At 37.8% G+C, this 24,570-nt stretch overlaps 1 protein-coding gene and 1 long non-coding RNA gene across 2 annotated transcripts in view; one reads left to right on the plus strand and one right to left on the minus strand.

The window, feature by feature from the left end:
* SDHAF3 (succinate dehydrogenase complex assembly factor 3) overlaps positions 1-21,997 on the plus strand; it is a 64,066-nt gene extending 42,069 nt beyond the window's left edge. The window contains exon 2 of the mRNA NM_020186.3: positions 21,246-21,997. Coding sequence (NP_064571.1) covers positions 21,246-21,449 — 204 coding nt within the window. The 3' untranslated portion in view covers positions 21,450-21,997. The remainder of the gene's footprint in view (positions 1-21,245) is intronic.
* The window catches only part of LOC124901704 (uncharacterized), a 95,125-nt gene continuing 88,251 nt past the window's right edge, over positions 17,697-24,570 (minus strand). Inside the window, exons 2-3 of the long non-coding RNA XR_007060445.1 lie at positions 20,494-20,583; positions 17,697-17,732 (exon numbers count right to left, since the gene is read on the minus strand). This is a non-coding gene — a long non-coding RNA (uncharacterized LOC124901704). The remainder of the gene's footprint in view (positions 17,733-20,493; positions 20,584-24,570) is intronic.

The following is a 24,570-nucleotide window of genomic DNA, read 5'->3' on the forward strand; positions in this document are numbered from 1 at the left end:
GATTTAGTTCTTTTTTTCTTGACTAAACATTTACCTGATTGCTGTAAGCTTTCCATTAGTTTCGGGAGTTTCGAGAAGGTTGGTTCTGACAGTATTTGCCAGTGTATTTGTTGCTTTTTGGAGGGTTAGACCATTGGTGTTCTCTACTCCGCCATATTTGCTGCCATCTGATTCTATGATTTTTGTCTGAGGATGGTGCTATCCTGATGACATTAGGAAAGGAAAGATAATGACAAGGATTTGTTAACAATAGGCCAATGGCCACCCTTCGTCTGGGAGGTGAGGAGCGCCTCTGCCCGGCTGCCCTATCTGGGAAGTGAGGAGCGCCTCTGCCCGGCCGTCCCATCTGGGAGGTGAGGAGTGTCTCTGCCCGGCCGCCCCGTCTGGGAGGTGAGTAGCGCCCCTGCCCGGCCACCCATCGTCTGGGAAGTGAGGAGCGCCCCTGCCCGGCCGCCCATCGTCTGGGAAGTGAGGAGCGCCCCTGCCCGGCCGCCCTGTCTGGGAAGTGAGGAGCGCCTCTGCCCGGCCACCCCATCTGGGAAGTGAGGAGCGCCTCTGCCCAGCCGCCCCATCTGGGAAGTGAGGAGCGCCTCTGCCCGGCCGCCCCATCTGGGAGGTGTACCCAATAGCTCTGAAGAGACAGCGACCATCGAGAACGGGCCATGACGACGATGGCGGTTTTGTCAAAAAGAAAAGGGGGAAATGTGGGGAAAAGAAAGAGAGATCAGATTGTTACTGTGTCTATGTAGAAAGAAGTAGACATAGGAGACTCCATTTTGTTCTGTACTAAGAAAAATTCTTCTGCCTTGGGATGCTGTTAATCTACAACCTTACCCCCCGACCCCCAAAAGAAAAAAAAGAATAGGCCAATGGAAAAGTGTCCAAATGGAGATGCGCTGTAAGCGGTTGTAAATATGTGACTGTGGTGAAAGGCAGAGGTGGTCAGACTTGAGATTAGGTTTTGAATTTGGCAATGCTGAAGCTCTGGAACATAGAGGTGTATTGGTGGAAGGAATGACAAATGGCTGCTGAAGCCTGAGCTTTGGAGAACAGTCAGTGTAGGCACAATAAGACTTTTCTTTTTCTTTTTTAAGTAGGAAAATTATTTTTTGGAATTTAATATAAACAAACATTAATTTCTACTTGTTTCAGTTTCTTTGTCATCTCTTAAAAAAAAAAAGTACAGATGGTCCCCCACTTAACGATGGTTGGACTTAAAATATTTTTACTTTTACAGGGATGCAAAAGTGAAACACATTTAGTAGAAACTGTGCTTTGCATTGTGATCTTTTTCTAGGCTAGCGACATACAGTGCAATAGCCTTTTGTGATGCTGGGCAGTGGCTGGGTCCCAATCAGCCACTCAGTCACAGTACTCTACAGTGTACTGTGTTGCCAGTGTTTATTTTGCCTGTCTGTAGGCTAATGTGAGTGTTCTGAGCATGTTTAAGGTAGGATAGGCTAAGCTATGATCTTGGGTAGGTTAAGTGTGTTAAATTATTTTCCTCTATTAGTATTTTTACCTTACAGTGGGTTTGTCAGGACACTACCCCATCATAAGTCAGCAAGCATCTATATAGTCTATGGGACTCGACTTCACAATTAGCTGCTGTTTGGTTGGGATTACACAAAGAATGATTACAACAGTAAGTTTCTCTGCTGGTTTCTTATTATTCATTTTATTATACTTTAAGTTCTGGGGTACATGTGCAGAATGTGCAGTTTTGTTACATAGGTATACACGTGCCATGGTGCTTTGCTGCACCCATCAACCCGTCACCTACATTAGGTATTTCTCCTAATGCTATCCCTCCCCTAGCCCCCCTCACCCTCTGACAGGCCCTGGTGTGTGCTGTTCCCCTCCCTGTGTACATATATTCTCCTTGTTCATCTCCCACTTATGAGTGAGAACATGTGGTGTTTGGTTTTCTGTTCTTGTGATAGTTTGCTGAGAATGATGGTTTCCAGCTTCATCCATGCCCCTGCGAAGGACATAAACTCATCCTTTTTTATGGATGCATAGTATTCCATGGTGGTATGTGCCACATTTTCTTTATCCAGTGTATCATCAATGGACATTTGGGTTGGTTCCAAGTCTTGCTATTGTGAATAGTGATGCAGTAAACATACATGTGCATGTGTCTTTATAGTAGAATGATTTATAATCCTTTGGGTATATATCCAGTAATGGGATTGGTGAGTCAAATGGTATTTCTAGTTCTAGATCCTTGAGGAATTGCCACACTGTCTTCCACAATGGTTGAACTAATTTACACTCTCACCAACAGTGTAAAAGTGTTCCTATTTCTCCACATCCTCTTCAGCATCTGTTGTTTCCTGACTTTTTAATCATCGCCATTCTAACTGGAGTGAGATGGTATCTCATTGTGGTTTTGATTTGCATTTCCCTAATGACCAGTGATGATGAGCTTTTTTTCATATGTTGGCCGCATAAATGTCATCTTTTGAGAAGTGTGTGTTCATATCCTTTGCCCATTTTTTTGATGGGGTTGTTTTTTTCTTATAAATTTGTTTAAGTTCTTTGTAGATTCTGGATATTAGCCAGCTCCTGGCTTCATTGATTTTTTTTGAAGGGTTTTTGTGTCTCTATCTCCTTCAGTTCTGCTCTGATCTTAGTTATTTCTTATCTTCTGCTAGATTTTGAATTTGTTTCCTCTTGCTTCTCTAGTTCTCTAATTCTTTTAATTTTGATAATAGGGTGTCAATTTTAGATCTTTCCTGCTTTCTCTTGTGGGCATTTAGTGCCATAAATTTCCCTCTACACACTGCTTTAAATGTGTCCCAGAGATTCTGGTACATTGTGTCTTTGTTCTCATTGGTTTCGAAGAACATATTTATTTCTGGCTTCATTTTGTTATTTACCCAGTAGTCATTCAGGAGCAAGTTGTTCAGTTTCCATGTAGTTGTGCGATTTTGGGTGAGTTTCTTAATCCTCAGTTCTAATTTGATTGCACTGTGGTCTGAGAGACTGTTTGTTATGATTTCCATTCTTTTGCATTTACTGAGGAGTGTTTTACTTCCAATTATGTGGTCAATTTTAGAATAATTGCGATGAGGTGCTGTGAAGAATGTATATTCTGTTGATTTGGGGTGGAGAGTTCTGTAGATATTTATTAGATCCTCTTGGTGCAGAGCTGAGTTCAACTCCTGAATATCCTTGTTTATTTTCTGTTTCATTTATCTGTCCAGTATTGACAGTGGGGTGTTAAAGTCTCCCACTATCATTGTGTGGGAGTCTAAGTCTCTTTGTAGGTCTCTTGAGAACTTGTTTTATGAATTTGGGTGCATATATATTTAAGATAGCTCTTCTTGCTGCATTGATCCCTTTACCATTATGTAATGCCCTTCTTTGTCTCTTTTGACCTTTGTTGGTTTAAAGTCCTTTTTTTTTTTTTTTTTTTAATTTTTAGTGCAGTGAAATCTCGGCTCACTGCAACCTCAGCCTTCCGGTTTCAAGTGATTCTCCTGCCTCAGCCTCCCAAGTAGCTGGGATTACAGGCACCCGCCACCATGCCCAGCTAATTTTTGTGTTTTTAGTAGAGACAGGGTTTCACCCTATTGGCCAGGCTGGTCTTGAACTCCTGATCTTGTGATCTGCCTGCCTTGGCCTCCCAAAGTGCTAGGATAAGAGGCGTGAGCCACTGCGCCTGGCCTATAGTCTGTTTTATAAGAGATAAAGATTGCAACTCCTGCTTTTTTTTGCTTTCCATTTCCTTGGTAAATATTCTTCCATCCCTTTATTTTGAGCTTATGTGTGTCCTTGCACGTGAGATGGATTTCCTGAATACAGCACATTGATGAGCCTTGACTCTTTATCCAGTTTGCCAGTCTGTGTCTTTTAACTGGGCCATTTAGCCCATTAACATTTGAGGTTAATATATTTATGTGTGAATTTGATCCTGTCATTATTATGCTAGCTGGTTATTTTGCCTGTTAATTGATGCAGTTTCTTCATAGTGTTGATGTTCTTTACAATTTGGTATGTTTTTGCAGTGACTGGTACCAATTGTTTCCTTTCCATGTTTAGTGCTTCCTTCGAGAGCTCTTGTAAAGCAGGCCTGGTGGTGACAAAATCTCTCAGCATTTGGTTGTCTGTAAGGATTTTATTTCTCCTCCACTTACGAAGTTTAGTTTGGCTGTATATGAAATTTTGGGTTGAAAATTCTTTTTTTTTTTTTTTGAGACACAGTCTTGCTCTGTTGCCAGGCTGGAATGCAGTGGCGCGATCGCAGGTCACTGCAACCTCTGCCTCCCAGGTTCAAGCGATTCCCCCTCAGCCTCCCAAGTAGCTGGGATTATAGGCACGTGCCACCATGCCTGGCTGTTTTTTTTATATTTTAGTAGAGACGAGGTTTCACCATGTTGGCCAAGACGGTCTCGATCTCCTCTCCCTCCTCAGCCTCCCAAAGTGCTGGGATCACAGGCACAAGCCACCGCGCCTGGCCTCTTTTTTTTTTTGGAGACGGAGTCTCACTCTGTCACCCAGGCTGGAGTGCGGTGACAAAATCAGGCTTATGGCCTCCTGCTTATTCAACAGATTGTATGGTGGCAAGGTAATTATTATCTCTAAACTAAAGGTGTATTGGTTCATAGTTCTTTTTTTTTTTTTTTTTCAGACAGAGTTTCACTCTTGTTGCCCAGGCTGGAGTGCAATGGCGCAATCTCGGCTCACCACAACCTCCCGGATTAAAGCGATTCTCCTGCCTCTACCTCCTGAGTAGCTGAGATTATAGGTGTGCGCCACAACACCCGGCCAATTTTGTATTTTTAGTAGAGATGGGTTTCTCCATGTTGATCAGGCTGGTCTTGAACTCCTGACCCTAGGTGATCCACCCCTCTCGGCCTCCCAAAGTGCTGGGATTACAGGTGTGAGCCAGCGTGCCTTTCCGGTTCATAGTTCTTTTATATAGCTATGACATTTATGCCCTAAGTCATCTTGAGTTGCGTGAATTCATCACACACACAGTGAATAACTAGTGGTGGAGATTTGAAGTGAAACTGATCTACCAATGTGGGGATGGAGGGATGATAGACTAACATAATTTCCATAATTTGCATCATACTGAAGCAACATATTATTATATAAACAAAATTACATAGTGAACTGAAACTATAGGAAAGATGGCAAGATAAACCTATTAGGGAATATAGTTTGAAATAATGTGTCATGGCTGTGATGAAATTGTAATGGAAAACAATAGCTTGGAGTTCTTTGAATATAACTCACTCTTTAAAAGATTAAATCCCTAGCACTTTGGGAGGCTGAGGTGGGCAGATCACGAGGTCAGGAGATCAAGACCATCCTGGCTAACTTGGTGAAACCCCATCTCTACTAAAAAAATACAAAAAAATTAGCCAGGTGTGGTGGCGGGCACCTGTAGTCCCAGCTACTCGGGAGGCTGAGGCAGGAGAATGGCGTGAACCCAGGAGGCGGAGCTTGCAGTGAGCCGAGATCGTGCCACTGCACTCCAGTCTGGGCAACAGAGCAAGACTCCGTCTCAAAGAAAATATAAAATAAAATAAATTTCTTGACTTCACATCAATTAAGGTATCTCAAAGGATTTTCCTACCTTTTTTTTTTTTTTTTTTTTGCTTGTTTTTATTTTGGTTACCAGTTAGCATTCCATTAGCATGTTTTTTATGGGTATTTATTTGAAAATCAACATTTGACTTTCAAATGTGGAATTAAATGGACTTTGCTGCCTTTTTAATAATACTTTTTTTGTGATTGAAGAATTTAAATGACTAGGTGAGATTTTGTAAAATGGTGTAAAGGAGAAACACCTCCAAATAATCATGTTTATACTAATCCTCACTGAGTATCCTCATTTTCTTGGGATAAACCTCGGTCTGAATTCTGATATTTAGATTTGCAAGCTCATCCATTCAAATTTGTTCAAGTTCTATGTGTTTTTGTGAAACTGAAGAGGTTAATATGCAGAGTGCAAGGCTAAGTTGGCAGTTTGCCTTGTAAAACAGAATTTGTCAGGTGAATTGTGAATACAGGTTTTAGCTGGTCAGTACAGTTTACACATTTTATTCTTTTCCTTTTTTCTTTAATAAATGTGTATCAATGCCTGGTATTGCTAGACAGTGAAGGGATGTGGGTGTCTTGGCATGATCCTGTGTCTTGAGGACTTTGCTGTCAACATCAACAGTAAGAAGTCTGCTATAAAAAAACTTTGTACAAATTGCCAAGAGAGCATAGAGGCAAACCTGGGGCAGGGGTACAGGTGTCCTCAACAATATGACATTTGAACTGAGTCTTGACATCTTGTTCCATGAAGTAAATAAGGACATTCCAAATAGAATATATGGCTGCTGATGCATGGATGGGTATAGAATATTTGGGAATGTAAACCAGAAACTATCTGAGACAAGTCTAAACCAATTAACTTAGTAGTTTTTTGTCAAAGTTAAGGACATGCTCGTGACACAGCCTCAGGAGGTCCTGACATCATATGCCCTAGGTGGTTGGGCAACAGCTTGCTTTATACATTTTAGGGGACATAAGACATCAGTAAATACATGTAAGATGTACATTGGTTCAGTCTGGAAAGCGGGAAGAACTCAAATTGGGGAGGGTGGGAGTTCCAGGTCATAGGGGGAATTCAAAGATTTTCTGATGGGCAATTGGTTGAAAGAGTTTAAAGACCTGAAATCAATAAAAGGGAGTGTCCGGGTTAAGATAAGGGGTTGTGGAGAGGAAGGTTCTTGTTATGCAGATGAAGTCTCCTGATAGTAGCTTTTGGAGAGAACAGATTGTAAGACTTACTGAGTCTGTTCTGTTAGTTTTAAGGTTTCTGTTTTAATGTTAATGCTGGTCAGCTGTGCCTGAATTCCAAAAGGAAGAAGGTATGATCAGGCATGTCTGACCACCCTTTCCCATCATGGCCTGAACTAATATTTCAGGTTTACTTTAGAATGCCCTTGGCCAAGAGAAGGGGCCAGTTAGTTGGCGGGGGGGGCTTAGAATTTTATTTTAGGTTTACAGGAATTATAGGTAGTTTGTAATGATGCTGGTGAAATAAGGAGCCAGATGAAGGACCTTATAGAATAGTAGAAATAATAATTGCTGTCTAAAAGTTATTAATTCAGCATAGAACAATGCATAATGGATTTTATGACTAAACTTAAAATGGATTTTATGTACTTTTTCCACTATAGTGTCTCACTCAGGGCATCAAAATACTAATTTGACTGATCTAGGCACTTTCTTTCTTGACAATGCTTGATAAAATTTTACAACTTTCAGTGATTTTTTTTTTTTTCTTTTCATGCCAAGGCAGTTAAAGAGGAGTGTGTTAGGGTGGATTTACGTGTAACCACCTGATATGGTTTGGATGTGTGTCCCCACCCAAATCTCATGTCAAATTGGAGGAGGGGCCTGGTGGGAGGTGACTGGATTATGGGGCAGATTTCCCCCTTGCTGTTCTCACGATAGTGAGTTCTCACAAGATCTGATGGTTTAAAAGTGTGTAGCACTTCCCCCCTTGGCTCTCTCTCCTGCTGCTATGTGAAAAAGGTGCTCGCTTTTTGTTCATCTTCTGCTATGATTGTACATTTCCTGAGGCCTCCCAGTCATGTTTCCTGTTAAGGCTACCAAACTGTGAGTCAAAGAAACCTCTTTTCTTCAAAAATTACCCAGTCTCAGGTAGTTTTTTTAATAGAGAAGTGTGAGAACAGACTAATACACTACTCAATGTGTTCACCAGGCCTGCTGCCTAGACAGAGCCAATTTATCAAAACGGGAATTGCCATAGAGAAAGAGTAATTCACACATAGTCGGCTGTACAGGAGATTAGTTTATTATTATTCAAATCAATCTCTCCAAGCATTTGGGATCAGGGTTTTTAAGGAAAATTTGGTGGGTGGGGGACAGTGAGTCTAGAGTGCCGATTGGTGGGGTCAGAGATAAAATCATACAGAGTTGAAGCTATCCTCTTGCACTGGGTGGGGGGCCCACAGATCAGATGAGCCAGTTTATCGATCTGGGTGGTGCTAGCTGATCCAAGTGCAGGGGCTGCAAAACAAGCACTGATCTTGACAGAGGCAGGAGGCAGACAAATGCCTAGGTAGATAGGGAAGGGTCCCTAGTGAATCTCTGATCCATCCACAAGTGTTTACACTGGATGTTTTTGTGCAGATAAGGGAATACCTGCACAGGGTCTTGCCTGGGCATGCCCACAGTGAACTAGAGGCCCACGTGCACTGGGGGGAATGGGGTAGAGCCACCAGGAATTCATGCTTTGTGCAGGGGAGGAGCCTGGTCTCTTCAGCTTATGTGTGGGAGCCCTGGTATTCAGTCTGTGAGGTGGGAGCTTGCTGGCGGGACCCCCTCTTTTTGCCTAATGAATTCTGCCCTCATCACCCTTCAACGTGTTCACGTGCCTAATTTTTCCTGGTCATGAGACAAGAACTTGGATTTAGCTGAACTAAGCTTAGAGCAAAAAATCCTGCATCAATCTTAAGTTTCACAACAGTGATATTATCCCCAGGAGCAATTTGGGGGAGGGTCAGAATCTTGTAGCCTCCAGCTGCATGAGTCTGAAATCATAATCTTTTGGCTAATTTGTTAGTCCTACAACAGCAGTCTAGTTCCCAGGCAAGAAGGGGGTTTGTTTTGGGAAAGATTGTGTTATATTTGTTTAAAACTGTAAACTAAATTCTCCCAAAGTTAATTCAACCTGTGCCCAGGAATGAATAAGGATACCTTGGACATGAGAAGCAAGATGGAGTTGGTTAGGTCAGATCTCTTTCACTGTCTCAGTTATAATTTTGCAATGATGGTTTCAATCCCTTCCTTTGGGTTTTATAACACCTTAATCTTAAGGTGTGGGCTAATGAAGATGGAAAAAGTGTGACACCTGCTCTAACTTCTTCCTGCTAACCGGGGGTGTAATTGGGATAGGTGTTGACTCCAAGGTGAGAGGTTTCATACACTTGGCTTTTGTGTTTTCTTCATGCCTTTTACATTTTTTATTATGTTACTTAACTAATTTTTGTTCCCTTTTCTTTTAGCCTATAAATAAATATCCTGTTCATTTCTTACATACTTATTCTTATATTCTCCTTTAGTGAGTAAGCTATCTTATTTGTTTGATATTTTAGTTTGATTACAGATATGTAGACTCTGGGTAACGTGAAATGTGATTGTGATAATGCTACACTCTTTCATTTGGTTAATTAGAATAACAAATGCAGAAGATAACTTGTAAGACATTAGAATATATTTAAATTTTCTGTTAAAATTTGCCTTTCAGGGCTGGGTGCGGTGGCTCATGCCTGTAATCCCAGCACTTTGGGAGGCCGACGGATCACTTGAGGTCAGGAGTTCAAGACCAGCCTGGCCAGCGTGTTGAAACCCTGCCTCTACTAAAAATACAAAAGTTAGCTGGGCATGGTGGTGGGCGCCTGTAATCCCAGGTACTTGGGAGGCTGAGGCAGGAGGATCACTTGAATGTAGTGAGCTAAGATCGCGGCGCTGCACTCCAGCCTGGGCAACAAGAGCGAAACTGTCTCAAAAAAAAAGTATTAATATCATGATCGTCTGCTTTGGATCAGTATTACCCCAAATTGAACTGTGTGAAAGTACTGTCAATTTCAATATATATCAAATATAATTTTTAAAATACTTGATTTGATGTAACTCACTTGATGTTATAATAGATTCCTTTGGAGAGTAAGAATTATGCAGATTGCTATACATTTTTTTGGTGACAGCTATAATGTAAATAATTTGTTATAAAACATACTAATTTTATTTTCTCAATAAATTGGTGATTTTCTAAACAGATTACATCAAAATAGAATTTGAATGCATCATGTCCTTTAGTTTATATAATTTTTTTAAATATAGAATTAACCTGCATTACAGATGAACAGGTAGTTAAAAATCTATTGCTAAATGCAGTTTTTCTGTAGAGTGAAAAGAAAAAGCCTGATTATAAAAAATGTAAAAAAAGAAAAAATTATAGTTTTGAACTCTTTATGTTTTTAATGTCTGCGAGTGAAATTTTTTGTTCTATTTTCTTAACTATTACAATTTAGTTGTTTTTGATGACTAATATTGATAGTAAAATAATTGGAAGAATTTTTTCAAAAGCCTTTTTTGAGTTTTGTATATTAGCTTTATAAGCTGTTTTTTGTTCCCCATCAATTTTTAAATCAGTAGTGTATATACATTCTTATCTAATTGGATCATTGTCATCCTTAGGTATTACAGTTAAACTTATTTTCTTGCTACTTTGCTAGAACCCATCCTCACCTCCATTGAGGTATAAGTGAGTAAGGTAAGGAGTTGGCTAGTTCGTTTTTTTTTTTTAACGTAACAGCTTTACTGTGGTGTCATTGATGCATAGTGAACCACACATATTAATGTGTATACTTGGGTGAGTTTTGAAATATGTATACACCCATGAAACTGTCACCACATTCAAGATAACAAAAATCTATTACTCCAGAAAGTTTCCTTGTGCCTCACTGTATTCTAATATTACTAAAGAATAAATTAAAGGTTATATATAAAACATAAAATGTACAAGTAGTCCATTCACCTAAATGATCAGGAAAATGTATTTTTAAAATTAGTTTTATGAATACATTTTTAGATTAAGTAAAATAAGTTATGTAATATTACCTTAAGTACAATGCTATTATTGTTTCTGGGAACTTTGGGATGAATTTCATAAACAAGAATGTGCTTATTTTCTGTGCTGACTTCTCATTTCTGACATTATGACATTTGATTTGTAAGTGTCCAATATCATGGACATAGAGTTTATAGTAGACAAATATAAAGAATATTTGTGAACTAGGTTTTCTATAACATTTCCTTACTACTTCCTTAGCCAAGAACTTTCTACGTTCTTGCTTTTTTTTCTTTTTATCTTTGCTGTGCTGTGTCACAACTAACACCTTTTTTTGCTCATCTCTGGGAGTCACAGGTGAATCTTGAGTTTGGTTTACAGAGGAACCTGGGGAATTTGACTTCACAGAGGCTAAGCTTCATGGCCACCTGAGAAATTGACTTATTAGTGACACTAGTGTTACTTTCTATTCTTTGCACTCTGTATATCAAAGAGTTATATATTACAAGTGTTTGTGGGCTAAGAAATAGCATGTATAAGCTATCAATCATCTTTGACTTGAAAATCATAAAACCTCGTCAGAATGAGCCCAAGAAACCAAATTTATTATCATTGCCAACATAGGTTCTTTTTTCTTTTTCTATAATATATTCTGTATTAATGACTTGGGCAGATGTGCTTCAAATCCCCAAAGTGTCTTTGAATTTAGTTATTGTAATTCAGGTAACTTTCAGGTTTCTTGTGGAGAGGAGTGTTTTTTGTTTTTGCTCCTCTAGGAGGCATGATATTTTTAATAAGTTCTCTAGGGAAAGCTTGACCAAATGCTCCCAACTTAGGTTTGTTGGTTCAGTGTTGCTAAAGAGAATCTTATAATAATTGAATAAATTTTGGGGGAAAGTTACCTTTTTCTTTCCTAGATAATAATTGGCTTTCCTTTGGTTGTTTACATTAAAGAATACAAATAATTTTTCAAAACTATAAAAAATTACTGTCATTTTAGCTATCCAGGAAGTTGTGAGAATAGTAGCACAATTTATGCCTATTTTAAAGGGAATTTATAATTTTTGTAATTCAGAAGAAAGGCATCAGACTAATTCTGATTGTGACAGCATTTTTATGATTTAACCTAAAATCTTTTTTTATGCTATTGAGGAAATTATTTGTATATAAAATATTTAAAAAGTCAAGTTTTTAATGGGACATGTCATATAGTTTGGTATTTTCTTGAACTCTATACAGTTGATGAGTACCTTAATAATGCTATTTTCATAAAATGTTTTAAACCATTTGGTTTTAGTATTAAAGGAGGCCTAGGCTACATGCTTTTCTAAATAAGAATAGCCTTTTGTGAGGCAACTAATTATCTTTATTTACAGAGCTTGACAGTTTGGATTTTCATATATCATTATTACTTTGGGGCCATTTAGTTGTAATTTTGTTTTAGAAAACACAGATGAGCAAATACTAGATATGTGATTAAACAAAATAATGAGAACTTAGATTTTCTTTTTTAAAGCTTGTGTTCAAATTATATTAATTACAATCTGCAAAATTGCTTTGATCTCTGCTGTTAAGGACAAATGAAATACTGGAGCTGTAATTTCCTTATCCCCAAATTTTTCCTATAGCTATTCCTTCCTTTCTTTCCCTTTCATTTAGTTACTTAAATAATATTTATTATAAAATATCAAAACAGTACAGGGTTGAGGTGTTCAGAACAAAATATGAAAAACTATTCTTCAAAAGTTTCTGGCCATCCTTTCAGCCTCTGTTTAAATTTGTACATGTTTTGTAGCATATTCAAATAGCATATATCCATGATATTTTGCAAGTTGATTATTTTACTTGGGAAGCTTTTCATGTCAGTACATGTTTGACCTTGTTCTTTTTAACTATTGCATGCTCTTTTGTAGTCTAGATGAACTATAGTTAATGTGACCAATCGTTATACCTCTTTCTATATGCATGTATTTTTTAAGGGATGAATGGGTCCAGTAGCTTTTCTGCCTTCATAGTCCTGTTACTCAGAGTCCTCAACTCTCCAAAATCCATTGTTTTCTTGGTTCTTGTCTTTCTGTGACTCTTATCACCTTTCCATATTCAAATCCAATTCTCTTCCAACACTGTTCATTATTGGAATCTTAAATTGTGGCCCATATTTGTTTATTGAACCAGTCAGTCTCAATCTCAATTTTTGTATGTCAGTTATATAAGGAATTTTATGCCACTTTGGTTCTAGCCTGTGGGGAATTTCAATGATTTACATTATAAATAAAAATATTAATGGTACACAAAGTGAATTATTAAATAAAGGTTCACCAGCTATGTGCTAAAGTGACAGTTCTGAAATCCCACTGTTTTGATGAGGAAATTACTGTGAAACCTATTTAAAAATGATTTTGGTATGTCTTACTTGGATTTTAAAAATGTATATTGTAAAAAATTATTATAATAAGATGTTTAAGAAATATTTCTAGAAACAGAAGAAAAACTGGTAAATCAAGGCTTTATCAAAGAACTGTAAGCGGTCCCCTTTTGGGGATTGGTTTTGTGGAAGACAGTTTTTCTGCAGGTTGTAGGGGATGGTTTTGGGATGAAATGGCTCCACCTCAGATCATCAAGCTCAAATCATCAAGCATTATATTCTCATGAGGTGCACATAACCTAGATACTTTGCATAGGCAGTTCACAATAGGGTTCATGCTCCTGTAAGAATCTAATGCCACTGCTGACCTGACAGGAGGTAGAGCTCAGGTGGCAATGCTTGCCTGCTTCCTAGCAGGCTGTGGACTGCACCACTACCTGGGAAGCTTTGTTGAGAAGAAATTTCAAACCTGTAGTTGAAAGTGAGAAGTTATTGAAATAGTTTTAGTTGAATGTTTCTAATTTTAAGTTACATATGAATATGTATATGCATGTGTATATATGCATTTTTTTAATTTAGAGAAATCTCAACCATATAAAATGTAGAGAAAATATAATGAACCACTGTGTACCTATCACTCGACTTCAACAGTTGTCAACTCATGGCCAATCAGGTTTCATCTGTACCCCCACTTATTTCTCTTTCTCCCAGATTTTTAAATCACAAACATAAAATTTTTCTTAGGTATTTTAACGTAGACTCTTTAAAGTCATGACCATACTATTATGTCACCTCCAAAATTAGAATTTTTTTTTTTTTTTTTGAGATGAGAGTCTCACTCTCTCTCTCTCACCCAGGCTGGAGTGCAGTGGCGCGATCTCGGCTTACTGCAAGCTCCGCCTCCCAGGTTGATGCCAGTCTCCTGCCTCAGCCTCCCGAATAGCTGGGACTACAGGCGCCCACCACCACGCCCGGCTAATTTTTTGTATTTTTAGTAGAGACGAGGTTTCACTGTGTTAGCCAGGATGATCTCAATCTCCTGACCTCATGATCTGCCCACCTCTGCCTCCCAAAGTGCTGGGATTACAGGCGTGAGCCACCACACCTGGCCAAAATAATTCTTAATACCAAACATCCAGTCAGTTTTTAAAGTTTCCTGATTGTTTTTGTTAGCAGCTTTTTTTTCTTTTTTTTTTTAAAGACAGAGTCTTGCTGTGTCACCAGGCTGGAGTGCAGTGGCACAATCTCGGCTCACTGCAACCTCCGACTCCTGGTTTTAAGCAATTCTCCTGCCTCAGCCTTCTGAGTAGCTGGGATTACAGGCATATGCCACCACACTGGCTAAGTTTTGTATTTTTATTAGAGACAGGGTTTCACCATGTTGGCCAGGCTGGTCTCGAACTCCTGACCTCAAGGGATCCACTCAGCTCAGCTTCCCAAAATGCTGGGATTACAGGCATGAGCCACTGTGAGCATTTTTGTTCAAATAAGAAAGTATTATAATTAGTCAATACACCTGTTAAATCTAAAATTCTTTTGTTAAGCTCTTTGAGTTAATTTTAGAGTTACAGAAGAGAGTTGCAAAGATAGTACAGATTCCCTATACCTTTCTGCAGCTACTTCCCCTGTGATAGCCTACATAACTACAGTACTGTTATAGAAACTAAGAAGCTAACATTGATGCAATATTATATTGTTAATTAAACTACAGAGTATATTCAGTTTCACCAGCTTTTAGAGGAATTGTTTCTTTCTGTTCCAGGGCCTGATGCAAGATCCTGCCTCACATTTAGTCATCAGAGCTCCTTAGCTTCCTCTAATCTGTAATAGTTCCTTCCTTCCTTTTTCCTTGTCATTGATGGCCTTAAAACTTTTGAAGGGTACTGATCAGTTATTTAATAGAGTGTCCCTTAATTGAACTTTATCTGATGTTTTCTTATGATTAGATTGAGGTTGTGCATTATTGGGAAGAATACCACCGAGGTGATACATCCTCTCAGTGCCTAATTATCGGGAGGTACATGAGGGCAGTGTGACTTACTACTGGTCATGTTTACCTTGATCATTTCATTGAGGTGGTATCTTTCAGCTTTCTTCACTGTAAAGTTGCTATTTTTCCTTTATTACTTCTGAGACTGGCGTTGTTATGTAGTTTTTCATAGTCTGAATCATGCTGATTGCATTCCCATGGTGATGTTTAACACTTAGGTCTCTTGTGTTTCCTGTAAATTGATAATTAGATGTAGAGGCTTACTAGGTGTATTTTTTTGTTTGTTTTTGGTTTTCTTGTTGTTGTTGTTTTGGTAATATGTACTAATATCAGAAGACATGTAATATCTGGTTGTTTCTCTATGTTATTCCTTGAAATGGTTTATTTAGTTTGATTCTAAATGCTGGTAAGAAGAAATCTAATATAGTTCATTTCTATTCTTTAAAAACATCTGTATAATAGATAAATGAGTTCTAAAATTGAAGTAATTTAAGATAATTTATAATTTGATTGTTTTCTTAATGTTATTAAACTGACACTTTTTTAGATTTTAATTTTAGGTTTGAGGGTACATGTGAAGGTTTGTTGCATAGGTAAACTTGTGTCATGGGGGTTTGTTGTACAGATTAGTTCATCACCTAGTCATTAAGCCCAATATCCAATAGTTATCTTTTCTGTTCCTTCTTCCACCCTTATGTAGGTGTCTGTTGTTCCCCTCTTTGTGTTCGTGAGTTCTCATCATTTAGCTCCCACTTACAAGTGAGAATGTGTGATGTTTGGTTTACTAAAAACTAAGCAGTCCTCTTGCCTTGGCCTCCCAAAGCTCTGGGATTACAGGTGTGAGCCAGTGTGCTCGACCATACCAGTAATTTAATAGTATCAATTTGATTCAGACTATAAGCAAGTTTAATATACAGGTAGAGAATTAGAGAGTACAGTGAAGGCATAGCTGGCCTTATAATATTTAATTGTTCTATCACTGACAAACTGGTACTACAGCTTCTCTGCCTTTTCAAAAACTCTAGTGGGAAACAGTATAGCATGAACGTTAGTTTTTTTCTACTAGGAGACTTTAAGACTGTGTTTCTGTAGTTCACTGCTGTATTAATTTCCTGTGTCTGCTGTAATAAATTACCACAGCCTGACTTAAAACAATGGTAGTGTATTCTGGAGAGGCCTAATTAAAGAGTGAGAGGCTCTAGGGAAGAAATCCACATCTTTCAGCTTCTGGTGGATCCAGGATTCCCTTGAATTATGGCCATATCGCTCCAAACTTATTTTTTCTTCATATCACATTCTCCTCTGTATGCCTAATTTATCTCATCCCCTCTAAGAATACTTGTGACCGTATTTTCAGGACCATCAGGATAATCTCATCTCAGAATCCTCAATCACACTTGCAAAACCTATAATATACATATAAGGTAACACAGTTTCAGAGATTAGGACTTGACATATTTTGGGGACACCATTCAGCCCACTGCACCTGCTCTCACCATACTCAAAAGTGTCTCTCTTCGACAGCTTTCTGCTACTTGAAGCAGCTGCTTAACTTACCCTGAGGAAGCACTGCACATTCTCTTTGGTTCAAGAGAGCAATCATAGGGAATCTTCTAACTTTCGGGATAGCATTATTCTTAGAAGCCAGCATAACAGTTTGAAACCAAAGGATGCTGTTAGTTAATGTGTAGTGTAGTATTTTTCTGTTCTGAGTCTCTTCCCTCCAGGTAGATATGCTTGGCGGGGTGACTTAGTCATAAATTCACATTTTACTGCTGCTTCTTCCTATATCTGGAAACCTCCAAATTGTGGTCCTGAAGTTATTTTTATTTTGGCCATTTTTCTCTCTTGCCAGGAAAGGAATGCTGTTGCAAGTACATGGAGTCAAAGACTAGTCGGTAATGGGTGGTGTACGGGCGAAAGGTTGGGTTTTTTTGTTTCCTTTTCGTGAGTCTTTCTACCCAAGATGTTCATTCATTGATCATTTCTCACACATGAAATGTATTTCTACTTTCCATAAGAAACATTATTCCCATAATTATTATAAATTATACCCTAAGTGAAATATTCTCTGAAATTATGCACAAAGTTATGAAAATTTTCAAAAATGGGAAAGTTATGTATTCACCACTCAGATTTAACAAATATTAATATTTTGAAATATTTAGTTCACTTTTTTAAAGTAAATAAATATTAAAAGGTACAGCTAAAATTCCATTCCCCTTTCTTACTCCTCAGAGGTAATCAGGATCCTGATGTTGGTTGTTTCCATGCTTGTTTTTATGTTTTGTACATTTGCATATATTTGTAAATGATATATATATTTTTAAACTTTTAAAAAAGATTTTTGCTTTATTTTTCAACAATTTAACTATCATATGCTTAGGTATAGTATTTTGTATTCTGCTTGGAACTTGCTAAGCTTCTTGAATTTATTTTTCCTTAAAATATTCATTAAAATTCATAAAACTTTATAAAAATAAGATATCCGGCCAGGCACAGTAGCTCAGGCCTGTAATCCCAGCACTTTGGGAGGCTGAGGCGGGTGGATCATGAGGTCAGGAGATTGAGACCATCCTAGCTAACGCAGTGAAACCCATCTCTACTAAAAATACAAAAAATTTACCTGGGCGTGATGGTGGGCATCTGTAGTCCCATCTGCTGGGGAGGCTGAGGCAGGAGAATTGTGTGAACCCGGGAGGCACAGCTTGTAGTGAGCCGAGATCGCGCCACTGCACTCCAGCTTGGGCAACAGAGCGAGACTCCGTCTCAAAAAAAAAATAAGATACCCATTAAAATTTATTTTTCTGCTAAGGCAGTAACCTCTTTTCTTGGATTCCACTTAAACTTACGGTAGATCTTTTGGCATTGTTTCACAGATCACTGATCTTTTACTCATTTTTTAAATAGTTTTGTTCTGTTTAAAACTGGATAATTTCTATTGCTGTATTTTCAAGTTCATGAATCTTCATCTCCAGTCTACTATTAAGTGACATTTAAAAAATTCCAGATAGTGCATTTTTGAGTTCTAGAATTTATTTGGTTCTTATAATTCCTCATTCTCTGCTGAGATTTATCTGCCCCATTTATGATGACCGTATTTTCTTTTACATACTTAACATTTATAGTACCTGCTTTAAAATCTATCTCTGCTTATTCTAATGTCTGAATAATCTCAGGCACTGGTCTCCATTGATTGCCTCTTCTCTTAACTGTGTTTGTAATAATTTTTAATTTTTTTCCTGGACACTGTAAATGATACATTGTAGAGACATTATTCTAGATTTTTCCTCACCCAAACGGAAACTCGGTGGCCATTAAACAGTAACACCCTCTCCTACCTCCTCCCAGCCCTTAGTATTATCTATTCTTTCTGTCTATGAATTTTCCTATTCTAGATATTTCATGTAAGTGGAATCATACAATATGTCTTTTTATGTTTGGCTTCTTAGCATAATCTTTTTAAGGTTTATCCATGTTGTAGTATGGATCAGAACTTCATTCCCTTTTAAGGGTGATAAATATTCCATTGTATGTGTATACCACATTTTGTTTATCTGCTTGCTGGTGGACATCTAGGTTATTTTCCAAATGTCGTCTATTGTGTATACAAGTATGTGTTTGAGTTCCTGTTCTCAGTTATTTTGGTAATATACCTATGAGTGCATTTGCTGGATCATATGGTAATTCTGTGTTTAACTTTCTGAGGAACTGCCAGTCTTTTCTGCAGTGGCTATACCATTTTATATTCTCATTATCAATGTATGAGGATTCTAGTTTATTCCAACTGTTATTTTTCTGGGGTTTAAAAAATTATTATAGTAGACATCTTAGGGTGAAGTGGCATCTCATTGTGGTTTTGATTTACATTTTTCTAATGGCAAATGATTTTGACCATCTTTTCATGTACTTGGCCATCTGTATATCTTTGGAGAAATGTCTATTCATGTGCTTTACCCATTTTTAAATTGGGCTATTTGTCTTTTAGTTGTGGTTCTTTATATATTCTGGATAATAAACCCTTTTCAGATACGATTTGCAAATTTTTTCTCATTTTGTAGTTTGTCTTTTTACTATTAGGTGTCCTTTGATGCACAGAAGTATTTAATTTTGATACTGTCCAGTTTATTTTTGTTGTTGTTGCTTGGGCTTTTGGTGTCATATCTAAGAACCTATTGCCAAATCAAAGGTCATAAAGATTTACCTATATATTTTCTTCTAGGATTCTCATGATTTTAGCTCTTATATTTAGGTCTTTGATTCACTTTGAGTTAATTTTTGTATATGGTAGAAGATGGGGTGTCTAACTTCACTCTTTTGCATGTGGAAATTCAGTTTTCCCAGCACCAGTTGTTGCCTAGATTATTCTTTCCTCCACTGAATGGATTTGACATCTTTATCAAAAATCAATTGGCTATATATGTAAGGATTTACTTCTGGACTCCTCATTCTATTGGTGTTATATATCTATTCTAATGCCAGTGCCACACTTTTGTTTAATGTGGCTTTCTAGTTAAGTTTTGAAATTGGGAGTTGTGAGTCCTCTGTTTTTGCTATTTAGAGCTCCTTAGTTGTCCATTTTTGTAAATGAATAATTTCTTAAAGCCTGCTTTTTAGATTTTATTTTTTGGAGTTTCATCCGTGTTGATACATAGACTTGTAGCTTATTTGTTGTGACATCTTTATTATCATCTGAGTAAATTTCAGTGTATTTGACTTTTCTATTGAAGTACAATTATTTCCATTTTTTTTTTTTTTTTTGCTTTAACAATCAACATTCTTCTGCATGATACTTGTTCACATGTTTTAAAGTTTCTTTAGGATGGTAGGGTGATTTTTGCCTTGCCAGGAAACCTTTGGCAGTGTTTCGAGACATTTTAGATTATCAAGACGGGGAGAGGGGTGTTACTGCCATCTGGTGGTCAGAGACAAGAGATGCTGCTAAACATCCTGCAATGCAGACTCTCACTGACCCCTCCCCACCCCTACCCCCCCTACACACACAAAATAGTGCCAAGGTTGAAAAACCCTGCCTGCCCTGAAGCATATAGAAGTGGAATTGATAAAACTTGAAATGTTTTCATCTTAATAAGTGGATTTCTGTAAATCATGGAAAAAATATTTTCTCCATAGGTTTGGAATGTTTGGAATTAAAGTTGCTCTGGCAATGCTGCCATTCCAGCAATTACAAGCAATTTATATATCTCAAGCCAGATCAGGTAGCAGCATTATCCAGAGTTAGCCAGTTCATTCACTTTAACTTCATGAACTAAAATACTTTGGCACTTTGTCTGCTTAAAAGATTAATTTTAGAGTGAGTCTGTTTCAAAACAGTGGCACTTGTGCAGATGGGGATAGTTGGAATATTAGGCTGAATGTACTTAATAAGAGCAAAATTAGAACATGAAAAAGTTTTTCTTGACACAGATGGTTGTTAAACATTGAAGACTTAAAGGTTTAAGAAGTTTTTCTCTAGTATATTTTAAATTAAAATTGTAATTGAAGACATAGGAATGAATTTAGACTCACTTGAAGATGTGTTACATGTCACCGTGGAATACTGTGCTGCCATAAATAGGATGAAAGCATGTCCTTTGCAGCAACATAGATGCCATGATCCTAGGCAAATTAACACAGGAACAGAAAAATAAAATTTTAAGTGGGAGCTAAACATTGAGCACACATGGATGTAAACTGGGAACAGCTGACAGCATGGACTACTGGAGGGTGGTATGGGTTGAAAAGCTACATGTTGGGTATTGTGCTTACTCCCTGGGTGACAGGACCTGTACCCAAACTTGAGCATCATGCAGTTATTCCCATCTAACAAACCTGCACATGTACCCCTTGTATCTAGGGGATATATGTGCAGGTTTAAAATAAAAGTTGGGGGAAAAAAGACCCATGGTTCCTGTTTGAGAATCCGTTGAAAGCTATGGCCCCAGAAATGATGTCCGTACTTGTGTAAATACAATTTTGCATATGGTTTGAGGTGGTTTATGCATGCTTCTGAAGCCCATCCAGGGACTCACCACTCTTTACTTATATCCAGGTTAAAAATTTTGCTAAAAGTTGGTTAAAACACTTAAAGTGCTAAAAATAGATATACATGAAATGATCAATGAATTGTATCTTCACAACTATATTTATATCTCCTTAACCAAATGCTTCTGCATTTACTGATGAGGAAAAATAGGTGACTCAGAATTAGAATTCAAGTCCTCTAATGTTAAATATTATTTAAACTTTACATCTATAACCTTCATTCTTTATCTTTTTAGGTGTATGCAACAGCGTTATTGCAACAGGCTAACGAAAACAGACAAAATTCAACTGGAAAAGCATGTTTTGGCACCTTCCTCCCAGAAGAAAAACTTAATGACTTTCGTGATGAACAAATTGGACAGTTGCAGGAGCTGATGCAAGAAGCCACAAAACCCAATAGGCAATTTAGTATTTCTGAGTCTATGAAACCAAAATTTTAGTCTATACAACAAAGCTTAATAAGACATGCAAAAATTTAGAACCCCTACTTTAACTGTCATTGGTTTTTGAAATATATTTAAGCTTTGAAAACACCTGTTATTAATGAAATACTCTTTTATTTTGGATATTATGATTGCAGTATATGGATCAAGATCACTAGTGACAATTGAAAAAAACTATTGGAATAATAGCACTTGTATGAAATTCAGTTTTGGAACTAAACAGCAAATTTCTAGAATTTTGCTGAAAATGTTTTAAAATGCTATTCTCATCCAGCCATATTAGTCTTCTGGCTTTTCTTTAGCTTCATCAAATAAGCATGTTGTGATAATGATAGATGTACAATTCCAACAAGGTTATTATTTTTTAAATACATTGTCATTCTGAACATTTTATCACTTCTAGTTTAATAATACATACATGATTTTTCTTCTGAATGTCTCTTCTCCCTGCATCACTGTTCATTCACAATGAAAGGTTAGGAAGAAGCTTTAAAATTCACTATTTTACTATCAATCATTTGTATAATAAACTATACAAAGTATAATACGTTTCCTCCAGTGTTTGTTTGTTAATAACAACCCCTGAAATAATGTGTAGCTACATTGAGACTCTCATTTATCAACTAATAGTTGAGGACATTACAAATCAACTTAAGTATAAGAAACTTTCCTAAGATCTCAAATTTAAAAAACGGTAACCCCATTTACAACATAAAATGTGGATTTTAAAAAATATTATGCTAAATGACTTGTATCTTTAGTTATTGAAACCTGATTCCCAGTGTGATACTATTAGGTGGTAGAGCCCTCATGAATGGGATTAGTGCCCGTATAAAAAAAAAGCTCCAGGGAGATCTCTTGCCCCTTCTACCATATGAGGATACAGTGAGAAGATGTTAAAGCAGAAAGTGGCCCCTCATGAGACACTGAATCTGCTGGTGCCCTGGTCTTGTACTTTGCAGTCTCCAAAACGTGAGAAACAGATTTCTATTTATAAGCCACCCAGTTTAGGGTAATTTGTTATAGCAGCCCAAAGAGACTAAGACAGTTAGTTAGTTAGGAAGGCTTACTCCAAGATTCTGAAACGATCATTTTTTTAGATGTACTTGCAATTTATGTCATCTCTTTAGAAACTGATACATGTTTTCTCTGGGTTGGTGTCTCATGTGTTCTCTCTTTGTATATACCTGCTAGGGCCACCTTAGTCCGTTCTTCCATCCTTTTTTTTTTTTTTTTTGAGTCAGTCTGATCTGTTGTTGGTCTTTCTCGTTGAGAAAGATGATAATCAATAATTATTCCGTCTGTGTTATAACAGGCTTCAGGGATACAACAATGGATAAGACGAAGCTCCTGCCCTCAAGAAGTTTAAAATCTAGTCGTGCATTCAGGAGCCCTCGTTCAGCATGAACAAATACATCTGCAAACTCTTTACAGCATTATCCTTTTCATCATGCCTAATATAAACCTAATACTTCTGAAGACGCTGCTTCGCTGTAGTCTTGTAAAGTGGGCCACAACTCCCACTTTACAAGAGACCCATCCTATTGTCCCTTTCAACCCATCACTATGCCACCCTCGCTTAAGAACTCGTTCCTTTGTGGCTTTTTTTCTTTTAGGGTATACTTCCCTTCTGTTCGTTGGCACTTGACTTAACCTCAAATCTTGCCATTATTTTGGTGACTTAGTATTTATGTCGTTTACTTAACCAGCAGACAGAGTTATCTGGCATTATTCACTTTCATTCAACCACTCACTCATGCCATGGCTACACTTAAACCTTCACTCTGTTCAGAACTGTTTTGCATCTGAAATTATGAATTTCAATATCCTGTGCTTTTGCCACTATCTCTTAACAATATAATCAGTTTCTTACTCCCACTGCACAATTCATTCAACAGATACTTACTAAAAACCTGCATTTGCCAGATGTCATTCTAGGTATTAGCGATATAGCACTTTTAACAAAGACAAAAAGTCTGCTACCCCCATGGAACTCACATTCTAAAGGAGAGAAATAAAATATGTAGGGTGATAAGTACTATTGAGGAAAATAAAAGCAAGGATAGGGAATAGGGCTATGGTTCCAAAATTATAAACTGAGATTCCCTGGGCACCTCAGAGAACTCAGGGGTGCTGCAGGATATTTTAACTTTGAGGAAATCACAGTCACATTTGTGTTTGCTGGACACCACACACATTACTAGTGCAAGGATTTTCAGTTTTACAGTTATATTGCCACATTCTTTTTAATGACAGATCTTTGTGAAGCTGGGCTTTTAGTGGTTGCTGTGATAAAAATGCAAATATCACAGAAGATGAGTGAGTAACAGAAAATGTAGGTAGTGTTGGTCAATATGATTACAGTGTAAGCTGCATAGTGTCCAACAGGTGCTAAATTGTTTTGGCACAAATAAGTTGTTTGGACTACTTAATAAACAAAACTAAGTTTTGTTTGCTGTTTTGCCTAGATGTACTGTGCAAATACTGGGACACCAAGTTCGTGAACTAAAAGTTTGGGTAATAGGGAGTGGTCTTTAACAGTAAACTGATACATAAACTTATCAGTCCTTTGACTACTTGGTGCCTTCAATGTCATTCTACTAGTGCTTTTATTTCCATTACAGACTCCCTAGTTTCTGTGATCCTTCACTTCAGCCAGCCACTGAGCAGTACCTTCCATGTCTTTTTTTTTTTTTTTTTTTGAGACAGAGTCTCGCTCTGTCGCCCAGGCTGGAGTGCAGTGGCGGGATCTCGGCTCACTGCAAGCTCCGCCTCCCGGGTTCACGCCATTCTCCTGCCTCAGCCTCCCAAGTAGCTGGGACTACAGGCGCCCGCCACCACGCCCGGCTCATTTTTTGTATTTTTAGTAGAGACGGGGTTTCACCGTTTTAGCCGGGATGGTCTCGATCTCGTGACCTCGTGATCCGCCCGCCTCGGCCTCCCAAAGTGCTGGGATTACAGGCGTGAGCCACCGCGCCCGGCCCCATGTCTTTTTCTTTTACTTCACCTGCTGCTCTAGCCAGGGTAACCACTCACTTGCCAAAATCAATGGGATATTAATCACTGTAAGGTTGATAAGTTGAAGATTTGATAGTATTACTGTCTTCTGCTTTTAAAC

This window comes from Homo sapiens, chromosome 7 (assembly GCF_000001405.40).
Source record: "Homo sapiens chromosome 7, GRCh38.p14 Primary Assembly".
In the NCBI taxonomy this organism is placed as follows: Eukaryota; Metazoa; Chordata; class Mammalia; order Primates; family Hominidae; genus Homo; species Homo sapiens.